The sequence below is a fragment of the Homo sapiens genome, chromosome 6 (assembly GCF_000001405.40).
Source record: "Homo sapiens chromosome 6, GRCh38.p14 Primary Assembly".
NCBI lineage: Eukaryota > Metazoa > Chordata > Mammalia > Primates > Hominidae > Homo > Homo sapiens.
In genome coordinates, this window is record NC_000006.12 from 123,252,135 (window position 1) to 123,273,905 (window position 21,771).

Genomic DNA, 21,771 nt, shown 5'->3' on the forward strand with positions numbered 1-21,771 from the left:
ACTGAAAACATTTATTTATTTAAATGCAAGTCATTTTTATTTTCAGGCTTGAGAAAATAATAAGATATTTCTGTTACAAGTTGTAATTTCAAATAACATAGTTTTTTTTTTAAGTTTCAACGTAAGTAACAATAAAAGCTAATAAATTCCTGTCAGAGGATTCAGTTTAGAATAAACTATACTGAACACTTCAAAAATAAAAATATTTTATGAATTTCATCTTAAAATTGATACTATGTATCAAAGAGAACTTGTCATTAATACAAACCGTACTTACTTGATACTCTTGCAGGTTTTTCTGCTAAAAAGAGAAAATAAATAAGTTTTGTTTAACTGAGATAAAATGCAAGGAAATTATAAATCAGTGGACTTTATAAAAATATCTAATTATTTTGTTTCTTGCTTATTATTTAAGAATCAATGAAGAAATACAGTCATCTGTTGCCTGTCAACATAAGTCTTTGTTTTGTTATAATTTTTAATTTTTTAAAATTTTTATTTAGAGATGGGGTCTCAGTTGCCCAAGATGACATGAAGTGGTACAATCACAGCCACAGCTCACTGCAGCCTCAAATTCCTGTGCTCAAGCAATCCTCCCTCCTCTGCCTCCCGAGTAGCTGGTATTACAGGTGTGAGTTACTATGCCTGGCTGATTCTTTGAATATCTTGGTTAATCTATTTTATCTAAGAAAATATGTCAGCTATCAAAAAAGCTATTCATCAAAGTGTCACAAAATATTTATGCTTTTAAAATACTCTTACTAAAATCAAGATCTTTGTTAAATTAAGAGTTTTGGCTCAACTATTATTATACTTAGCTTGAATAAAATTACTTTGCATTATGTAACAGCTAAATATTTTCTTTAAAATTCCAAGACTTTATAAAATATATCATTTAGAATTATTTTTCTTTCAAAGATAGATAAAATAAATAATTACCAGACTATAAAATACATCTTAAAAAACAACATGCAAAGTAAGTTTACTTTTTCATAATAATTTATTTATTCTAATGAGAGGTTATTATTCTTCAAAGAAATGTGCTTTCTTATTAAGCTGTATTTAGGACAAAATAACTAAGGTGAAATTATTGTCCCAAACACTAGAGCAGACATTCTAATTTCTTGAAAAAGACTAGTAACAGTTCCATTCTAACATTAGTCTCATTTAAAGAGCCAGACTAGAAAATATGATTTTTAAGCTACCTGTATTACATGGTTTATTTTGAGATTTGTAGAGTTTCTAACATAAACCTAAAGATTAAAATTTTATAAAAATTAGGTTATTCCTATTAAAAAACATTTTCAGCTTGGATACATGTTTTCAGTATTGTTAGAGTACTATGCTTCATGCATAAAATTATGAAATAAATAATTTGGAAAACTCTTTCACTAAGACTAACATGTTATTATTTTTTTCTTTAAAAATACTAGCATTGGTTAGGAAGACAGAAATTTAGGGGAAAAATAGACTTTCACTGATATAAATGAAGGAATGAATAAGAATATGCCTGCTCTCAATTATCTCTGAGTTGGACTTGTGCTTTCGTACATAATCATTTTTCTCCACTGTTTTCCCAAGATGAAGACTTTAAAACGATAGATTCACAGAACAGAGTGAGAAGTCTGAATCAGAAGTCTGAATCTCTTGTACAGCTGAGTTACAGAGGTTTCCTCAAATCATCTCTCTAGTAGATCACTCCCTTGGGGGCAAATTGGGATATACTCTATCCTTGGGCTGCTGTGATTGGCAGAAAACTTTCTCTTGTATTTGCAGCAGCGTAATAGAATACTGAAGTACGAATAGATGGCCTTAACCATTATAGTGTTTGAAAACATACAAACTTGGAGCCAAATCTTGTCTGTACCATATAAATACTCTTGAGATGTTAGATTTTCTCTTATTGCACTTATTTCATCTTTAAACTGGGCATGATAATTGGGCCTTACTAAGAATCAAGTAAACAATAGGAAAAGGTATAACCATACATTTTCTAATTAATTTATTTTTTTCTCATCCTTCTGGCTGATTATCTCAAAGGATATTAAACAATATTTAAAAGAATGTTTCAATATAAAAATTGTGCCCCTATATTATTCTACAAATGTAATTGCCCTTCAATTGAAAGTTTTACCTCTTAATATTAGTGATAATTATGAATACATTAATAATTTTACGTGTGAAAGGTATGTCTAGATATGTCTAGTCATTTCAGGGATACACATTTCAGTGAGCAGTAAAAGGGAGTCAGTGAAAAACAAAGCTTTTTCTCTCCCTACTAGAGATTTATGTATTTGCTATGAATGAAAATAGTTGTCTTAGTTATGATATGTTTACCTAGCACCTTCGAATTTAAAGCACTTTTTTAAAGTAATTGAATTTCCCTAAAATTATGTTGCCAAGGCTACATAATTTAGTATAAACGTTATTTACAGTTTTATGATAATATCAGCAAAATAGATCATTCTCTTTTTAAGAAAAAAATGTCTGCATTGTGCATGCTGGCATTTGCCTATTTTGTGTCTAGGTTGAATTAATTTAAAGGTCTAATTTATAAGCAATAAAAAATATATTCATGATCTTAACTATATGTTATTTAGTGATAGATAAAAATAAATCCCAGTAATATTTATTTTTACTACCATATTACTTTTGACATTATTCATGCTAAAAAAGTCTTTGTAATTGATAATTTTTCTTCTGATGTGTAACAGAATATTTGTTCATGTTAATGTTGCTAATAGTTCTGATTTCTTCATGTTTTCTTATTTTCTATTGAAATATAAGCTTTCTGCTAGATTTTCTACCTGTCCACTTCCTCTGCTATTAAGAGAAGTTTGCATCTTCTAGATTTCTTTGTTCCAAAATAATTTAATATTAATATTAAGCAACAACATAATTCATATGTTTTCATACAAACATAGTAGTTACGTAATTCAAGATTACCTTTTGTCACATTGTGTAATTGAAGACTTTCTTTTCTTGTTGAGACTGTTAATAAGGAAAATGTAAATTAAAATATAAATTTTTAAAGTAAATTTCCATCAAAATTTTGTCTCACATCAACGAATGAGGATAATTTAAGTGTTATAAATATTTTCTCAAGTTGGTTTTCAAAAATTTTTCTATCCAACTGGTACCTAACAAAAATAAATGTTAGCACTAGACATTGTTTTATAAACAGAGGTATAACATGAATGTAGGAACAAAATTAACTAGAATGTATGAAAAATGGGTCATTCTGATTAACTGGATTTGGAGATAAACAAAAAAGAGTTATTTTGTTATTGACAATAATTCTGATATGTCTAAGAATGCTTTCCTCCTGCTCCAATAAACTATTTGATAATTAAGACCTTTGTAAGCTTTATGATAATTATACTCAAATCAGTAATTGTCATCTTATATGGTGTAGTTTGCCAAATAAATAAACCCAATGTTAAGAAAAACGGCAGCATTTTGATTCAGTTTATACTTTGCTCATCAATGGCAGAACAAACTGATGCTTATTTGCATGGGTTGGCTTACCATCCATTGCTTCTTTGACACTGCCGTTACTACACAATCATTTTTATTGTGTTTTTTACTTACCATATTTCTTCTTTTACTCAGGCTAACACTCATCACATACATTTAGAAAAGTTTTTTTTCATATGATATAAATACATTTTGACTTAAAATATTTTAGCTTCAGGGCTTTGCATTCTATTTTTTATTCTTTTAAAAAATTACCTTTTTCTTCTCTAAGATGCTTCATGTCTGCTTTTTCTGTATAGAAGAAACAGTAACAGGGTAATTTATTTTTTTATTTATTTTTAATTATACTTTAAGTTCTGGGATACATGTGCAGAACATGCAGGTTTGTTACATAGGTATACATGTGTCATGGTGGTTTGCTGCACCCGTCAACCCATCATCTACATTAGGTATTTTTCCTAATGCTATCCCTCCCCTTAACCCCCACCCTCAGAGAGGCCCCAATGTGTGATGTTCCCATCCCTGTGCCCATGTGTTCTCATTGCTCAACTCCCACGTTTGAGTGAGAAAATGCAGTGTGTGGTTTTCTGTTCCGGTGTTAGTTTGCTGAGACGATGGTTTCCGGCTTCATCCATGTCCCTGCAAAGGACATGAACTCATTCATTTTTACGGCTTCATAGTATTCCATGGTGTATATGTGCCACATTTTCTTTATGCAGTCTATCATTGATGGGCATGTGGGTTGGTTCCAAGTCTCAGTCACATGCTATTTCTGGTTCTAGATCCTTGAGGAATCGCCACACTGTCTTCTGCAACAGTTGAACTAATTCCCACCAACATTGTAAAAGCATTCCTATATCTCCACATCATCTCCAGCATCTGTTGTTTCCTGACTTTTTAATGATTGTCATTCTAACTGGTGTGAGATGGTATCTCAGTGGTTTTGATTTGCATTTCTCTAGTGACTGGTGATGATGAGCTTTTTAAAATATGTTTGCCTTCTTTTGAGAAGTGTCTGTTCATATCCTTCAACCACTTTTTGATGGGGTTGTGTGTTTTTTTTTTCTTGTAAGTTTGTTTAAGTTCCTATTAGATTCTGGATATTATCCCTTTGTCATATAAATAGATTACAAAAATTTTCTCTCATTCTGTAGGTTGCCTGTTCACTCTGATGATAGTTCCTTTTGCTGTGCAGAAGCTCTTTACTTTAATTAGATCCCATTTGTCAATCTTGGCTTTTGCTGCAAATGCTTTAGCTGTTTTAGTCATGAAGTCTTTGTCCATGTCTATGTCCTGAATGGTATTCCCTAGGTTTTCTTCTAGGGTTTTTATGGTTTTAGGTCTCACATTTAAATCTTTTTCTTTTCTTTTCTTTCTTTTTTTTTTTTTAGACAGAGTCTCACTCTGGCACCAAGCTAGAGTGCAGTGGCATGATCTTGGCTCACTGCAACCTCTGCCTCTCAGGTTCAAGTGATTCTCCTGCCTCAGCCTCCTGAGTAGCTGGACCACTGGTGTGTGCCACCATGCCAGGCTAATTTTTGTATTTTTAGTAGAGACAGAGTTTCACCATGTTGGCCAGGGTGGTCTCGATCTCTTGACCTCGTGATCCGCCCACATCAGCCTCCCAAAGTGCTGGGATTTCAGGCATGAGCAACCACGCCCGGCATGTTTAAATCTTTAATCCATCTTGAGTTAATTTTTGTATAAGGCATAAGGAAGGTGTCCAGTTTCTGTTTTCTGCATATGGCAAGCCAATTTTCCCAACACCATTTATTAAATAGTGAATCCTCACTTTCCCCATTGCTTGTTTTTGTCAGGTTTGTCAAAGATCAGATGGTTGTAGATGTGTGGTGTTATTTCTGAGGCCTCTATTCTGTTCCTTTGGTCTATATTTCTGTTTTGGTACCAGTACCATGCTGTTTTGGTTACTGTAGCTTTGTAGTATAGTTTGGAGTCAGGTAGTGTGATGCCTCCAGCTTTGTTCTGTTTGCTTAGGATTGTCTTGGCTATAAGGACTCCTTTTTGGTTCCATATGAAATTTAAAGTAGTTTTTTCTAATTCTGTGAATTAGTAGCTTTATGGAAATAGCATTGAATTTATAAATTACTTTAGGCAGTATGGCCATCTTCACAATATTGATTCTTCCTGTCCATGAGCATGGAAGGTTTTCCATTTGTTTGTGTCCTCTTTTATTTCCTTGAGCAGTGGTTTGTAGTTTTCATTGAAGAGGTCCTTCACATCCCTTGTAAGTTGTATTCCTAGGTATTTTATTATCTTTGAAGCAATTGTGAATGGGAGTTCACTCATGATTTGGCTCTTTGCTTGTCTATTATTGGTGTATAGGATCGCTTGTGATTTTTGCACATTGATTTTGTATCTTGAGACTTTGCTGAAGTTACTTACCAGCTCAAGGAGTTTTGGGGCTGTGACGATGGGGTTTTCTAAATATACAATCATGTCATCTGCAAACAGTAACAATTTGACTTCCTCTCTTCCTATTTCAGTACCCTTTATTTATTTCTCTTGCCTGATTGCTCTGGCCAGAACTTCCAATACTATGTTGAATAGGAGTGGTGAAAGAGGGCATCCTTGTCTTTTGTCGGCTTTCAAAGGGAATGCTTCCAGCTTTTGCACTTTCAGTATGCTATTGACTGTGGGTTTATCATAAAAAGCTCTTCTTATTTTGAGAAAATTTCCATCAATACCTAGTTTATTGAGTGTTTTTAGCATGAAGAGGTGTTGAATTTTGTCAAAGGCCTTTTCTTTATCTATTGAAATAATCATGTGTTTTTTGTCATTGGTTCTGTTTATGTGATGGATTACATTTATTGATATGTGTAGGTTGAACCAGCCTTGCATCCCAGGGATGAAGCTGACTTGATTGTGGTGGATAAGCTTTTTAATGTGCTGCTGGATTCGGATTGCCAGTGTTTTATTGAGGATTTTCGCATCGATATTCATCAGGAATATTGGCCTGAAATTTTCTTTTTTTTGTTATGTCTCTGCCAGGTTTTGGTGTAAGGTTGACGCTGGCCTCACAAAATGAGTTAGGGAGGATTCCCTCTTTTTGTATTGTTTGGAGTCATTTTAGAAGGAATGGTACCAGCTCCTCTTTGTACCTCTGGTAGAATTCGTCTGTGAATCCGTCTGGTCCTGGGCTTTTGTTTTGGTTGGCAGGCTATTAATTACTGCCTCAATTCCAGAACTTGTTATTGGTCTAGTCAGGGATTCAACTTCTTCTGGTTCAGTCTTGGGAGGGTGTGTGTATCCAGAAATTTATCCATTTCTTCTAGATTTTCTAGTTTATTTACATAGAGGTGTTTATAGTATTCTCTGATGGTAGTTTGTATTTCTGTGGAATCAGTGGTGATATCCCCTTTGTTATTTTTTATTGTGTCTATTTGATTCTTCTCTCTTTTCTTCTTTATTAGTCTGACTAATGGTTTATCTATTTTGTTAATCTTTTCAAAAAAACAGCTCTTGGATTCACTGATTTTTTTAAGGGTTTTTTTGTGTCTCTCACTCCTTCAGTTCTGCTCTGATCTTAGTTATTTCTTGTCTTCTGCTAGCTTTCGAATTTGTTTGTTCTTGCTTCTGTAGTTCTTTTCATTGTGATGTTAGGGTGTTGATTTTAGATCTTTCCCACTTTCTCTGTATCAGAGTAATATATTTATTAACAAGTCTTCTTAAGGTGAGGAATTGAATTTTATGTAGGCAATATTCACAGTTCAGTAGTAATATGAAAAGAAGTCTGTAGTTTTAATTTAGTAGTAACAGGTAGAGTCTGCTTTCAGTTCTAAATTCCTGATCCTTTTAGATATTTAATAAAAATGCAATAACTATATGTTTTGCATGATGAACTGTAATGTACTATAATTATGATATGTGCTATAAAATCAGTGTCTTCATTTTCATCAACTGTTTTTAAATCATATAATTTGTATAAATTTGTTTTTTGTTCCTCTGTTTTTGTGGCTAATTTGATGTATATGTCTTAAAATGTCATTTTTACCTTTACTTTCTTTTTCAGATATTTCAGTTTTCTTCTTTCCTAGGGGAAAGAAAAACAACAAGAAACCATCATTTTAAAAAACATGACTTTCTTACTCATTCTTGGAGTAAACAGTTGGAGATGAGACTTAATCTTATGAGTGGAGGGAGTCAGGGCTCTCTCATTTCATTTTTGTTATGCTTGGTCATTCTGTTTATGTAGTCACCTATAGGGTCAAAATTTCTCCTCCTCCTCCTCTTTGGCCTCCTCTTCCTCCTCTAAGTCTTTTACTCCTCTTCCTTCTTCTTTTCCTCCTCCTACTTCTTTTTTTCCTCCTCCTCTTCCTCCTCCTACTTCTTTTTTTCCTCCTCCTATTTATCTTCTTTTTTTGAGATAGGGTCTTTCTATATGCCCTCAAATTCCTGGTCTCAAGGGATCCTCCCTCCTCACCCTCCTGAGTAGCCTGGTTTACTTACAGGCATGACCCTGCTACCCACTTCCTCCCCTTTTCTTTTATGCTTTGAAGACAAGCTAGGATAAGCCATGCCTTTGTTAACAAGTTTAAACTAGAAACAATAGGAAAAAAAACTACATGTTACATTTTTACCTTTAGGAAATAAGAATTTGCCTGGCATGATGGATTCATAAGTAAACTAATGAATTAAAGCAATAAAAATGTAACATAATATTTCTAAGCAAAATGTGGATCCAGTTTTCAAAGCAGTCTTGGTAAATAATAATTTTCTTGCTACACTTTTTAGACAAAAGTGAGAAGAAAAACAATATTTAATGGGTGACTTATAAGTTTGTATGCGGTAAGAATGGACACATTGCATCATTTACTCCTTATAACAAGCCTTTTGGGAAGTCATTATGCCTGTTCTGTAGAACAGAATATCTGGAATTTGAGCAGCTAAGGGATTTTCTAAATGTTATACATCTAGAAACTTAAATTTACATACTGTTTCCACAACTGTATCTTATCTCCTCTGAAAAAGTAAATATTTACCTGATTCTGTGACTTCTGATGTTCCTTCTTTAGAAAAAAAAAAAAAAAGAATGTAGAAAGAAAGGAAAAAAAATAAAAAGAAAAAGTATAGTTTTTTATTCAGTAGCAAACAATTGAAACTTATCTTCTGATATTTCTTCCTAAATTACAATAGGCACACATACTCAAAATGGCAAAGAAATGTACTGATGATTAATATTTCTGATAGCTGTAACTAGACATCTATTTTGAAAATAGAACAAATATTCAATTAATCTAAAATGGTATATTTAAATATTATAGAATAGGTTAGATAGAATAAACAAGATCTAGTACTTGATAGAACAACAGGCTGATTACAGTTATCATTAATTTAGTGTGTGCATTTTAAAATAACTAAAATATTAGAATTTTTATAACACAAAAAATATGATAAATGCTGATGTGATGGATACCCCATTTACTTGCCTATATCAAAATATCTCATGTACCCATAAATATATACAACTACTAAGTACCTACCAAGTTAAAAATAAAATAAAATGAAATGTAAAAAATTAAAAAACATACGATATAATTAATGAATTCTAAATTCAAAATTGGTTTTCTTAGTTACAAATTATAAATCTGTTACATTTTTAATCTTCATTGATGCATGCAAACATTCATTCATATAATATTTATTAAAGTAGCTTCATTTATAAGATGCTGTCAGAAATGCAATTGAGTGTGGTCATGGGATGAGATTAAAAGTTAATAAAAACAAACTCAGTTCATATTGACTACAGTCTGATAAGTGATAGAAGACATAAAATTATATTTGCCTTTTGCCTATGCTCATACAGAACCATGCTTTCTTCTTGTTCCTTCAGTAAACTTACAGATTAATATTTCTAAGTATAACCTGGAAAGTTTTTTTTAAAAAAAACTTTGTGTCACAAATAATTTCAAATAATAACATTTCCAGAAAATAAAAATTCTCTGGTAGTTTAAGAAATATCTCTCATAAAATATCAATGTTTTCTACAAACGTGGTATCAGTTTTATCAGTCTTACATAACTATTTTGAGTAGCTATTTTCAAAATTCAAAAAAAAATTAAAATATTTTATGACAATGAAGGTATACAATAAATAATGTTTCATAAAAATATAGTACTTTAAAATGGCTTTATAATGATGTTTCATATTAGCATTCTAGTTTTGACTTCCAACCCTTAATTTTGGCAATAGTGTTCATATTAGTAGCAGTATTACAAACTATACTAGAGAATATCTCCAGCCTAAAGGCTGTACTTAATGTTTAAAATTGGCATTGAATCCATTATGAAGTAGCCTGTAGCTGCATTATTAACGAATCTGTCATGTGCTGTTAAGAAAACAGGTTAGTTCTGGGTATTAAAACATATAAATACAACATCCAGATACACTTTGGATTGAAATGCTCAATTTTTAATCCAGGTTACAGTCTGAGTATTCTAACAGGATTAAATAAACAGCTTCACTGTTTATTGTTGCATATTTACTATTGTTTAAGATGTCCAGGAAAGCCCCGTGATTTTGAATTACAAAATAAAATGTACCTCAGGGCTTTAAAAAAATTAGAAAATAAAAAGCTAATGTGTTAAAATTAAATAAATTGAGGACATATATTATGTGCTCTTAATTTTTCTCAACCCACACAATAACTGTTAGAAGATCTCCATACTGTGTTTATTCAATACATCTAAACAAACAATTGAAAGTAGATAAGAGAGAGACACAATTACTGTGTCTTTTGTTTTTGTTTTGTTTTGGTTTTCTTTTGTTGTTGTTTGTTTGTTTATTTGCACAGGTATTAGTTATCATGGTAAATGTGTTAGCAAACCAGGTATATCAACAGAAAACATGATAGGCATTCCCTCATACATCCTGGTCCAGTGTCATAGACCTAAGAGGTGCTCAATAAATACATGTTCAAGGATTAATAAATGTAATACAGGCATACTCATTTTATTGTGCTTCGCTTAATTGCAATTCTCAGGTATCACATTTTTTACAAGTTGACAGTTTGTAGCAACCCTGTATGATTAAGCCTATTGGTGTAATTTTTCCAATGGCGTTTGCTTCCTTCACATTTCTGTGTCTCATTTTGGTGATTCTCACAATATTTCAAATTTTTCATTATTATTACATCTGTTATGGTGGTCTGTGATCAGTGATCTTTGATATTACTACTGTAATTATTTTGGTGTTCCACACACCACACCCATATAAGGTGGTAAAACTTAATGAATGTGTGTATTGAGACTCTCATTCACCAAGCCCTCTCCCTTTCCTCTAGTCCTATTTCCTGAGACTCGATGGTTTTGAAATTAGACCAGTTAGTAACCTAAAATGGCCTCTTAGTATTCACAAGAAAGAAAGACTTGCACATGGCTCACTTTAAACCAAAAACTAGAAATGATTAAGTTTAGTGAGAAAGGCATGTTGAAAGCTGGGATAGGCTGAAAGTTAGGCCTCACGTACCAAAGAGTTAGCCAAGTTGTAAATGCAAAGGAAAAGTTCTTGAAGGAAATTAAAAGTGTTACTCCAGTGACCACATAAATGCTAAGAAAGGGAAACAGCCTTATTGCTGAGACAAAGAAAGATTTAGTGGACTGAATAGAAGATCAAAGCAGCTACAACGTTCCCTAAGCCAAAACCTAATCTACAGCAAGGCCCTAACTCCCTTCAATTCTATGAAGGCTGAGAGAAGTGAGGAAACTGCAGAAGAAAAGTTGGAAGCTACCAGAGGTTGGTTCATGAAATTTAAGGAATGAAGCCACCTGCGTAACGTAAAAGTATAAGATGAAGCATCAAATGCCGATACAGAAGCTGCAGAAAGTTATCCAGATCTAGCTAAGATAATTGACCAAGGTGACTACAATAAACAATAAGCTTTCAATGTAGACAAAATAGCCTTCTAGGGAGGATCACTTGAGCCCAGGAGTTTGAGGCTGTAGTGAGCTATGATCCCCAAGCTGTACTCCAGCCTGGTGACAGAGTGAGACCCTGTCTTTAAAAGAACAACAACAACTTAACAAATAGCCTTCTATTAAAAGAAGACGTCATCTAGAACTTTCATAGCTAGAGAGAAAAGTCAATATCTGGCTTCAAAGCTTCAAAAGACAGGCTGAGTCTCTTGTTGGAGGCTAGTGAAGCTGGTGACTTGAAGTTGAAGCCAATGCTTATTGACCATTCTGAAAATTTTAGGTCCCTTAAGAATTATGCCAAATCTACTCTGCCTGTGTTCTATAACTGGAATAACAAAATCTAGATGACAGCACATCTGTCTGCAGCATGATTTACTGACTGTTTTAAGCCCACTGTTGAGACCTACTGCTAAGAAAAAAGACTCCTTTCAAATATTATGGCTCATTGACAATGCACCTGGTCACTCAAGAGCTCTAATGGAGCTGTACGAGGAGATTAATATTGCTTTCATGCCTGTGAACACAACATACATTCTGCAGCCCGTGGGACTAAAGAGTAATTTTGACATTCAAGTCTTATTACTTAATAAGTACATTTCATAAGGCTGTAGGTGTCATATATAGTGACTCATCTGATAGATCCGTGCAAAGTAAATTGAAAGTCTTCTGGAATGGAATCACCTCTCTAGATGCTATTAAGAACATTTTTGACTCATGAGAGGGAGTCCAAATGTCAGTATCAACAGGAGTTTGAAAGAAATTGATTTTGACTCTTACGGATGACTTCGAGAGGTTTAAGGATTCAGTAGAAGAAGTAACTGCAGATGTGGTGGAAGCAACAAAAGAATTAGAAGTGGTGGCTGAATTGCTTCAATGTCATGATCAAACTTGAACAGACGAGGAGTTATTTCTCATGGATGAGAAAAGAAAGTGGATACTTGAGATGGAATCTACTTCTGGTGAAGATGTTGTGAACATCGTCAAAATCACAACAAAGGATTTAGAACATTCCATAAACTTAGTTGATAAAGCAGAAGCCAAGTTTGAGATGACTGACTCCAATTTTGAAAGAAGTTCTACTGCGAGTAAAATGCTGTCAAATAGCCATACGAACTACAGAGAAATCTTTTGTCAGTCAATCAATGTACCAAACTTTATTGTTGTCTTATTTTCAGAATCACCACAAATTTCTAACCTTCAGAAACCACCACCTTCATCAGTTAGCACCCATCAACATCGAGACAATACTTTTACCAGCAAAAGTATTACAACTTGCTGGTTTCAGATGATCACTAACATTTTTAGCAGCAAAATACTTTTAAATTAAGCTATGTACATTTTTTAGACATAATCCTCTTGCACACTTAATAGACTATAGTGCAAACATAATCTTTATGTGCACTGGGAAAACAAAAAATGGTGTGATTTATTGTGGTGGTCTGAATGAAACCTGCAATACCCCCGAGGTATGCCAGGACAATGACATCTAATTTTCCTTGAATTGCATTTTTTGAATCACTAAACATCTCTTCATGTGCTTATTGGTCTAGGGCTTCTTGCTCTACCCATTTTCTTTTAGTTGTGCTTTTTGTCTCCAAGGTATGCCTGTGCACACAATATCCTTTGTCAACCAGACTCACTTATATGGTAATAGTATAATGGCTATTACATTAACAAACAGACCATACTATTTAACTTCAGTTATAACTCAAAGAAATTGTGAAATTAAAACAATGAAATAGGACAATTTTAAAATTCTAAAATGGTACACTTACTTGGAGTTGGTTTTGGTTTGTCTAAAAAGGAAAAAAGAAAAAAAAAGAAAATGAGTGATAATTTTCTATCTATGGGTGACATATCAGCCCTTTATATTTCCTATTTTTGCTTTTTATTGTAAAAATAAGACTAAACTTATATCAACAATGAACAGTAGGAAATGTGTTTTTAATAATTTTCATATCATACTCCCAATGAGTTTCTCATGGAGCAGTAAAGCCTGAAAGTATGGAATCTTTTTTGGTCTCTTTTTTATTCCTGTAAACCTCATATTTGATTTGATACAATATTAATCAATGCTCACAAAAATCTGAACTTCTTACTGTTTCTGAAATAGCATAAAATATATATTCTGCCACAGTCCTTTTGGAATACATATTAATATTAATTTATACTAATAATATTAATTATTAATATTAATTTATACTAATAATATTAATTATTAATATTAATTTATACTAACTCTCCCAATCCCGTATGTTGAACAATAAGGTTCCTTTATAAAATCTCAAGAATGAATGGGTGGTAGGTAAAAAAAATCGTAAAGACATTCTATTTTTTTCCAATATAACATGTCTTCTAAAATATATTAACTAAAAACGTTAACTGTGTCATCGTACATCTAAAGTTCTATTTCTTCATAAAAAGTAGAAAAGATTTAGCTATGATTGCAGGATTGAATCATCTAAAATTAAGTAAAATAACTAATAGCTAACAGAGGGAATACAAATTGATACTTTTTTTGTAGATACATTTTGTGTTTATATATATTATATATATTATATATCATATGTATTATATATTATATATATTATAATATGTATTATATATTATATATATTATAATATGTATTATATATTATATATATTATAATATGTATTATATATTATATATATTATAATATGTATTATATATTATATATATTATAATATATATTATATATTATATATAGTAATATATATTATATGTAATATGTATTATATATAATTATATGTAATATGTATTATATATTATGATATGTATTATATATAATATATATATTATGATATGTATTATATATAATATATATATTATGATATGTATTATATATAATATATAGATTATGATATGTATTATATATAATATATAGATTATGATATGTATTATATATAATATATATATTATAATATGTATTATATATAATATATATATTATAATATGTATTATATATAATATATATATTATAATATGTATTATATATAATATATATATTATAATATGTATTATATATAATATATATATTATAATATGTATTATATATAATATATATTATAATATGTATTATATTATAATAATATGTATAATATGTATATATTATAATATATATGTAATATATTATAATATGTATTATATATAATATATATGATATATTATATATGTAATATATTATAATATGTATTATATATAATATATATGATATATTATATATGTTATATATTATAATATATATATATTTGTACTGGTAGATAGATAATGCTAGAAGGATACTTTAAGAAATAACAGTGATTTGGGAGGCCGAGGTGGGTGGATCACGAGGTCAGGAGATCGAGACCATCCTGGCTAACACAGTGAATCCCTTCTCTACTAAAAATACAAAAAATTAGCTGGGCATGGTGGCAGGAGCCTGTAGTCCCAGCTACTCGGGAGGCTGAGGTAGGAGAATGGTGTGAACCCGGGAGGTGGAGCTTGCAGTGAGCTGAGATGGAGCCACTGCACTCCAGCCTGGAGAGAGAGATTTTGTCTCAAAAAAAAAAAAAGAAGTAACAGTGATTACCTCTGGATATCATCACATATTTTTGAAATGAGAACTGGTAGAATTTACCAAAAGAGAGAGATTTTTGCAGTTAGCTTCCTATATGCCTCAGTGTTTGAACCATGTGAAATATTACATATTGTAAAAATTGAATGACATTTTAAAAGAATTAAGCTAACTTTTAGAATGGGGTAACTTCTCTTTTAAGAGGATATATCAAGCTGAAATTCACAATTTGTGAAATTTAACCTGTGTAATTTGACAAGATATTTTAAAACTATCAACTTAATCTGTATGATAAATTATATTAATACTGACAACAGTGAAATACTGAATATTTTGGAAGGAACTTGTGAATCATAAAATCAAATCTAATTTGTTAATTTTGCTCTATCATAATTGCATGTTTGGCAATCTATGTTTGATTGACAACAATATTGCCCTTAGGTCAGATAAACTAGATTACACTACAAAACCACAGGACAACACATTACCAGGAAACACAGTGAAAATGACTTGTATGCATTACTTTAATTTTTGAATATAATAAAAATAGTGAACATAAGACAGAATATAAACCAAAAATGGTAAAATACCTGTTTTTATAGATGGAGGTTCTCTTTCTCGATGTTCAGCTTTTTCTAGAGAAAGAAATCAAAATTCACTGGCAATCTGTGGATTCTTTGGCAAATATTTCTTATTTATATATTTGCAAGTGATCCTCAGTTTACCCAAGAGGCATGCCCCAAAGTCATTTTCATGTAATTTGAAACAAAGAAAGCATATTGCCATAAAAAAATTATAAACAGGGTTAGGTTCTTTCTCAGGACACCCAGGAAAAGGCTTTTTTCTACATTTGGCTGAAAGACAGTATTAGGGTTTTATCCCTTTGGGGGCTGTGTTGTATAAGAGGATAGAATATGGCAAAAAGGAGAATAAGAATATTGTTTTATTTGCTGAAAGTTGAATCATTCTTTGGGGACATTTTTAGTGGATGGTATTTGTCTTTGACATTTTATCAACTCCTCTTTTTTCCTCTTTGAATCCTAGTAACCTTCTTGCCAGTTAGAAGCAATGCACTGCTGAACACTAGTTTCTTATTGAAAATTTAAACTAAATCTGCTGTATTCCAGAGAGTGCCACATTTTGTATTTTTATTGACCTGTACCACCCTCCCTTTCCAGGTTTTCTTAAAACTCTCATAGCTGAATCTCAACTATTCTAGGATATGACAAAAAGAAATAAAAATGTATGAGTAATTGACATCCCTCTTAGTTCTCTGAAAAATATTTGAATTAAAAATTTTAAAGAGATCATTCTCTTTCATCAAAAGTGGAATTTAAAGTCAACCATATATGTGGGATATCTTGAATGGGATTGAGAATATCTGTCAATTGAGTAGGACTCTGGAACAGACCAAGTGTTACCTCTAATGACCTCTATGGTCAGTTCTTCTGAGCTGTTCTTGATGTTTACTTGTCCTTTCTTTCCCTCACTCTTGAATTTGGAGTTTCTCTAAACTTACTACTTTTCCCCCAAATTATGCACCAACACTGAAGTAGGTGGGAAGATGTGGGACTCCAGGTGTCATCAGACTAAACAGATATTCGTACATTAGGAACTGATAGCATTCAAGAATAAACTTCCATGAACTGAATTTGCATAAATGTTATAGTAAATAAGCATTCAAAATAAAAGAAAATGCAGCCAATATTCAAGGTATTAAACTGTTATAACAGCATTAATAATAAATCAAGGGAATAATAATAATATAAAATATATATTCAAAATACAATTCACAGATTCTAGGATGTGAATGTGTTCTGATTAGAGTCATTCATTTGTGCTATATAGCCTAAACCACTTATATGTATTCCTAAGCTGTGTCACACGTTCACCTTTGGGTCTTGTGAAGCTATTTTGCATGCAAGAGCCAGAATATATTTGACCAACAGCCATTCATGCATTTGTCTAAGCTTGTGTTTCACAAATGTACACCATTCAACGACCAACATCACAATTTTGACACAATATTGAATATATTTGCTACCACAGTGGGTAAATATTTATGCCTTCCTGAGTCCAAAAGTCATCTTTAAACTCTTCATCACTATACTCTCTGTGTCACACCTGTACAGTGAAATGAAGGATCTTCAAAGTCCACATTCATAAGGACATTTCATCATTGTAATGGACAAATGGCAAAATGTTTATAATTAAATGGATTTCTAAATGCCAAAGTTACCTACAGTTTAATTAATGCAGCTTAAAGCAAACAAATTAAAAACAGTATATGGTTCATAACACTGACAATTGTATATCATTTCATTTTCTGTTATTCATTACGTATGTTTAAAAGATTTCCAACCTACCTTAACTTACTGTGAGTGGTATTTTATAGCCTATATGGATTCCCTCTTTTAATATTAACCACAGTGACAGACTTCTGGATATTTCTTTTGTATAGTTATAATCATTAATTAGTAGTGATTTAATTAATCATTAATTATTAATCATTAATTGGTAGATTGATTTAACAAGAATGTTAAATCAATGCCATAGCAATAACATTAATTTATCACTAACAATTAAATAGCAATAACATTAATTTATTATTAACAGTTATTTAGACACAGACAACACTGAAAATAACATTTTTCTTAAAAAAACTAAGCAAAATTGTTAAAGCTGAAATGGTCAAGCGATATTTCTCAGGTGTTATTCTATTCATCTCTTACTTGTTGGTTTGGGCTTGGCTGTGGAGAATGGAGGCAAGCACATGGCATATTGATGAGTACAAACCATGGAAAAAATAACTGTTTAGTATTTGTATTTACTTATTCTTAGTTTTAGGTCACCTCCTTAGCTTAAACTTAACCTGTTTTCTTTGACCACTAATATTTTACTGTCAGCAAATACATTAATCAAACTGCAAAAAACTAGTAAGACACATGCTACGCACATAAAATTTAAAACAATCTATATATTTGAGTCACAAATACATTGAGCTAGCTTCTTCATAATTCCCAAACATCCATACAACTGAATGAGATACTCAGGTGGCCATATTAATACCTTAGGGTGCAAATTAAAGGAACATTTACTAAAATTATAAACTTAGGCAGTGGTCGGAAGAAAGTATAATGGTCATATGAAGTAATGTGAAAACGGCCTTATGAGATTTCTTTCTTTCTACTTATAAACTAGTCTATAATTTCTAGGAATAATTGGATCTCTCCTGAATTCTATTATATTTTTTCCTCCAAGAAACTATTTAAATCCTTATTATCTGATTATCTCAGGGAAAAACATGTTTCACAGAGTTTTTCTTTTGGAATGATTATTAGTAAGAGATGGGATTCTCTTAATGGCTGAGGTGGGTAGGATTTCTGTCTTGGAATCAAACAGAGGAAGTTCAGTGACTCAGATGTGAATTGATTTCAAGACTCATAAGTTTTCTTTTTCCTTACAGGAAAAACTTCTGAATTGCAAGAGTATGTATCTTTTCTTTCTCATATGAACTAATGATAGATGGAGTGTTTTTACTTTAATATTTTATGTTCTGTTGATCATTCTCTAAGGCAGACTTTAAAGTTATATAACCATATCCCTCTCTATGGAGCTTCCATGAAAGTAAATTATTCCAGCTAATTTATAAATAGTAGAAAGTTTCAGACTTCTGTAATTTTAAGATTTGAGGAAATGTGGTTTAAAAATAAGATTAAACACCTAAGTATACATGGTAATCAATGCATTATATAGATTTTCTCATGAATTACACATAAGCTTAGCTCAATCACACTTAAAGTTATGCTACTCTAGCTATTATTTTTTAACAAAAATTATATTGAACATATTTTTAGTTATTCACAAGAATTCAGAATGTTAGAAGTTATGGTACTGAAAGCCTACACACTTCAGTGAAGGGCTGTGTGTGTGTGTGTGTGTGTGTGTCTGCATGCACACATATGAGTGCACCACATAACATATAATGAGACATAGAAAAAAATATAAAATACCTTATTTACCTGTTTTTTCTATTGTGACAGCTTTTACCTGCTTGAGAACTTTTTCTTCTGTGATAGGAAAAAATGTTAACACAAGTAGGAAATTTGAATACATCAGTGACATATTTCAACCATGATTTTTGTATTCTTTTGAAATAGTGCCAATGCCAAGAAAAACTTGTTGCCTCAATAAAACAGCAAAAACATCTTCTATTCAAATTGGATGAAAGCACAAAGAAAATCTGTCCAGCTGAAATGTCCTTTGCAGCTATCTTGCTATAGAAGTTTTCCTAACTTAAATTGTTCCCTAACATGCCAATATGAGCCCTATTTTTTGCCTTCACTGTATTTCAGTGTATTTATCTGCCCAGAGGTACTGCTTTATAAAATATATGTTCCCTTACTATTATTAAATTAGAATAGGAAGGAGCAATTTTTTATCTTCTTGTACTGATACCTCCCTGGGAACCCAGGAATAGGTGGAGAACCCAAATTTCTTACAGTGTGAAGCTGGGGAAGAACAAAGTTGATGCCTTTGTGGGATGTCCTTTGTTCTCAGTGATTTTTCATAGTCAAAGATGTTTGGGTCAAAGTAAAGAGATTATTGCCCTGATACTACATGAAATTAAACTTCTCAAGCATTTCACACTGGGTATGAATCAACTGATCAAATATCCTAAGTAGAAAGTTTCACTGGATAACAGAGAATTTAAAGAGCATGGTGGTGTAACTGAAGTAAAAGAGTTGTTCCTACAAGACAATGCATTTGATGTACGCTCAGAGACTAAAGTCTGTCACTTCTCTTTATTTCACCTCAAGTTGGCTAATATTTGGGACATAAGAAAATAACAATGTTTCATTTAATGAGGAGCTTCTGAAAGTTGTTTCTAAGGTTCTGCTTTTGTCAATACAGACAGCTCTTCTCACCTCTCCACACTCCAGCCCTGCTTTCCTTATTCCTATATTTTCTGTTGTTGGTGTATCACAGTTTTTTTAAAAGCATATGCAAAACAAATCACACAGACTAAAACCCATTGTATACAGATTTTCTGAAGTACAATTTATAAAAGTAAGCAAAGGATTTCCTAAGATTTGTTTAGAGCAAGTATGTTTTTCACTTTTCAAAGATTCTGGCCTAACTATATTCACAAATTGGGTACATATTTCAGCCTGGAATGAAAAATAATATTCTACAGAATAATCAGGGCTTGGGTAGCCTCAAAATTAAATTCATATTTAATTAGCTGAAATAAAAACTTGTTTTTATTCTTAAATAAAAATTAATTCATAACCTTGTTTTGATAAATTATGTATCTTTTTTTTACAAGCAGAACATATTAGCTTACTTCTACTTTCTACAAAATGCAAGACCAGGAATAAAAAGAAAATAAGAAAGGGAAGGAAGGGTGAAGAAAATAAAGAGTCAGGAAAAGAAGCATGGAGAAATGTTGATTTCTTCAGCATTTTTGGGACTTGGAGAGTCTAAAATGATCATATTTTAATAAGCCAATCTGAATTACAAGTTTGCTCAGAATGCCTTGCCCAAATCAGAATAAAACAGAAAGTATAGAGCCCATTCATCTAAGTGCTGGGTGACTATGGTTTTTGTGCAAAGCTAACTCTCTGGTGGGAAGGGAAGACTAGTTGTCTAGTTACATCTCACTGGTTAAGTTCTCAGCACAAAAAAAAATTCTGAAGATGACTAAAATTGGAGATGGTCTAGAAGCTTATGACTTAAGACATGAATTGTCCCAAATAACTTTAGACTTGACTCTAAACTCTTCCTTCTGCTAAAATTAGAACATTGAGAGGTTATTTGAGACTACAAATACCACCTGCAAAATACCTGGTTTACCATGAGAAACAGTCTTTTCTGGTTTCACTATGTCTTGTTCTGAAAATAATAAAAAGAAAATCTTTTTTAGGTATTTAGAAGCTGGGAAAATAGCTAGCAGATTTTAGCAAATGTGCCCATAGAGAAAAAATATTCTGAAATCTTCATATCATCCTTGTTTCTATGTAAAACTTAAAGGTTTTAGTTCATGAAAACAATATGCCAAGAATTCTTATTTACAAAATTTTTGAAACTATAGTTTTCAAAACACAGGCTGTAATAAAACATAAATATAAAAGCACAGGTTGAAAATACATGATTTTGAAAACGTTTCAATATTTTTTCGTAAGAAAGTCTAAGCATAAAAGATAAAATTAATACATACTGTGTATTTGCACTTTTTCAGATATAGCTAAAATAAATAAATAACATATTAGATTAAATTACCTGCAAAATGGAGTATTTAACAATAACAAATACAACTGGTTATTGTAAATAGAACTAGGCATAACTAGCTTTAAATAGTACTGGGTTTCTGGTTAAAGAAAAGTAAAACTGGCAAAAATACAAAATGCTTATATCTGGTAAAACATATCCACCTACAGCAGATAAATATAATCAGGAAAATAAATAATAAAATACTAATAAATCATAATAATATTTGTAATGTAACAAGGCTGTTATGATCCTTAATATATTGTAAATATATCACAAGAGCAACTATATTCAAGCTTATGATCAGTTGCCAGGTAAGTTCTGGTGAGAATTCAGGGGCTGAGGTACTACTGAATATGTGTCTAGATTTGTATTCTTGATTTGTTGATATTGAAGAATCTTGCTAAGTAATCTTTTATAATGAAGAAATAGCTACCATAGAGCCTGAGGGTTTTTTTGAACTTGCCTCAGGTCAATTGCTAGTTGGTACCAGAGGTATGACTTAAACACTAAAAAACA

At 31.5% G+C, this 21,771-nt stretch overlaps 1 protein-coding gene across 1 annotated transcript in view; it reads right to left on the minus strand.

Moving 5' to 3' along the window:
- Window positions 1-21,771, minus strand: part of TRDN (triadin) — a 420,612-nt gene that overhangs the window by 35,796 nt on the left and 363,045 nt on the right. The window contains exons 28-38 of the mRNA NM_006073.4: window positions 21,203-21,229; window positions 20,830-20,877; window positions 19,005-19,052; window positions 17,715-17,732; window positions 15,573-15,617; window positions 13,184-13,204; window positions 8,478-8,504; window positions 7,490-7,528; window positions 3,733-3,768; window positions 2,947-2,991; window positions 278-301 (exon numbers count right to left, since the gene is read on the minus strand). Coding sequence (NP_006064.2) covers window positions 278-301; window positions 2,947-2,991; window positions 3,733-3,768; window positions 7,490-7,528; window positions 8,478-8,504; window positions 13,184-13,204; window positions 15,573-15,617; window positions 17,715-17,732; window positions 19,005-19,052; window positions 20,830-20,877; window positions 21,203-21,229 — 378 coding nt within the window. The remainder of the gene's footprint in view (window positions 1-277; window positions 302-2,946; window positions 2,992-3,732; window positions 3,769-7,489; window positions 7,529-8,477; window positions 8,505-13,183; window positions 13,205-15,572; window positions 15,618-17,714; window positions 17,733-19,004; window positions 19,053-20,829; window positions 20,878-21,202; window positions 21,230-21,771) is intronic.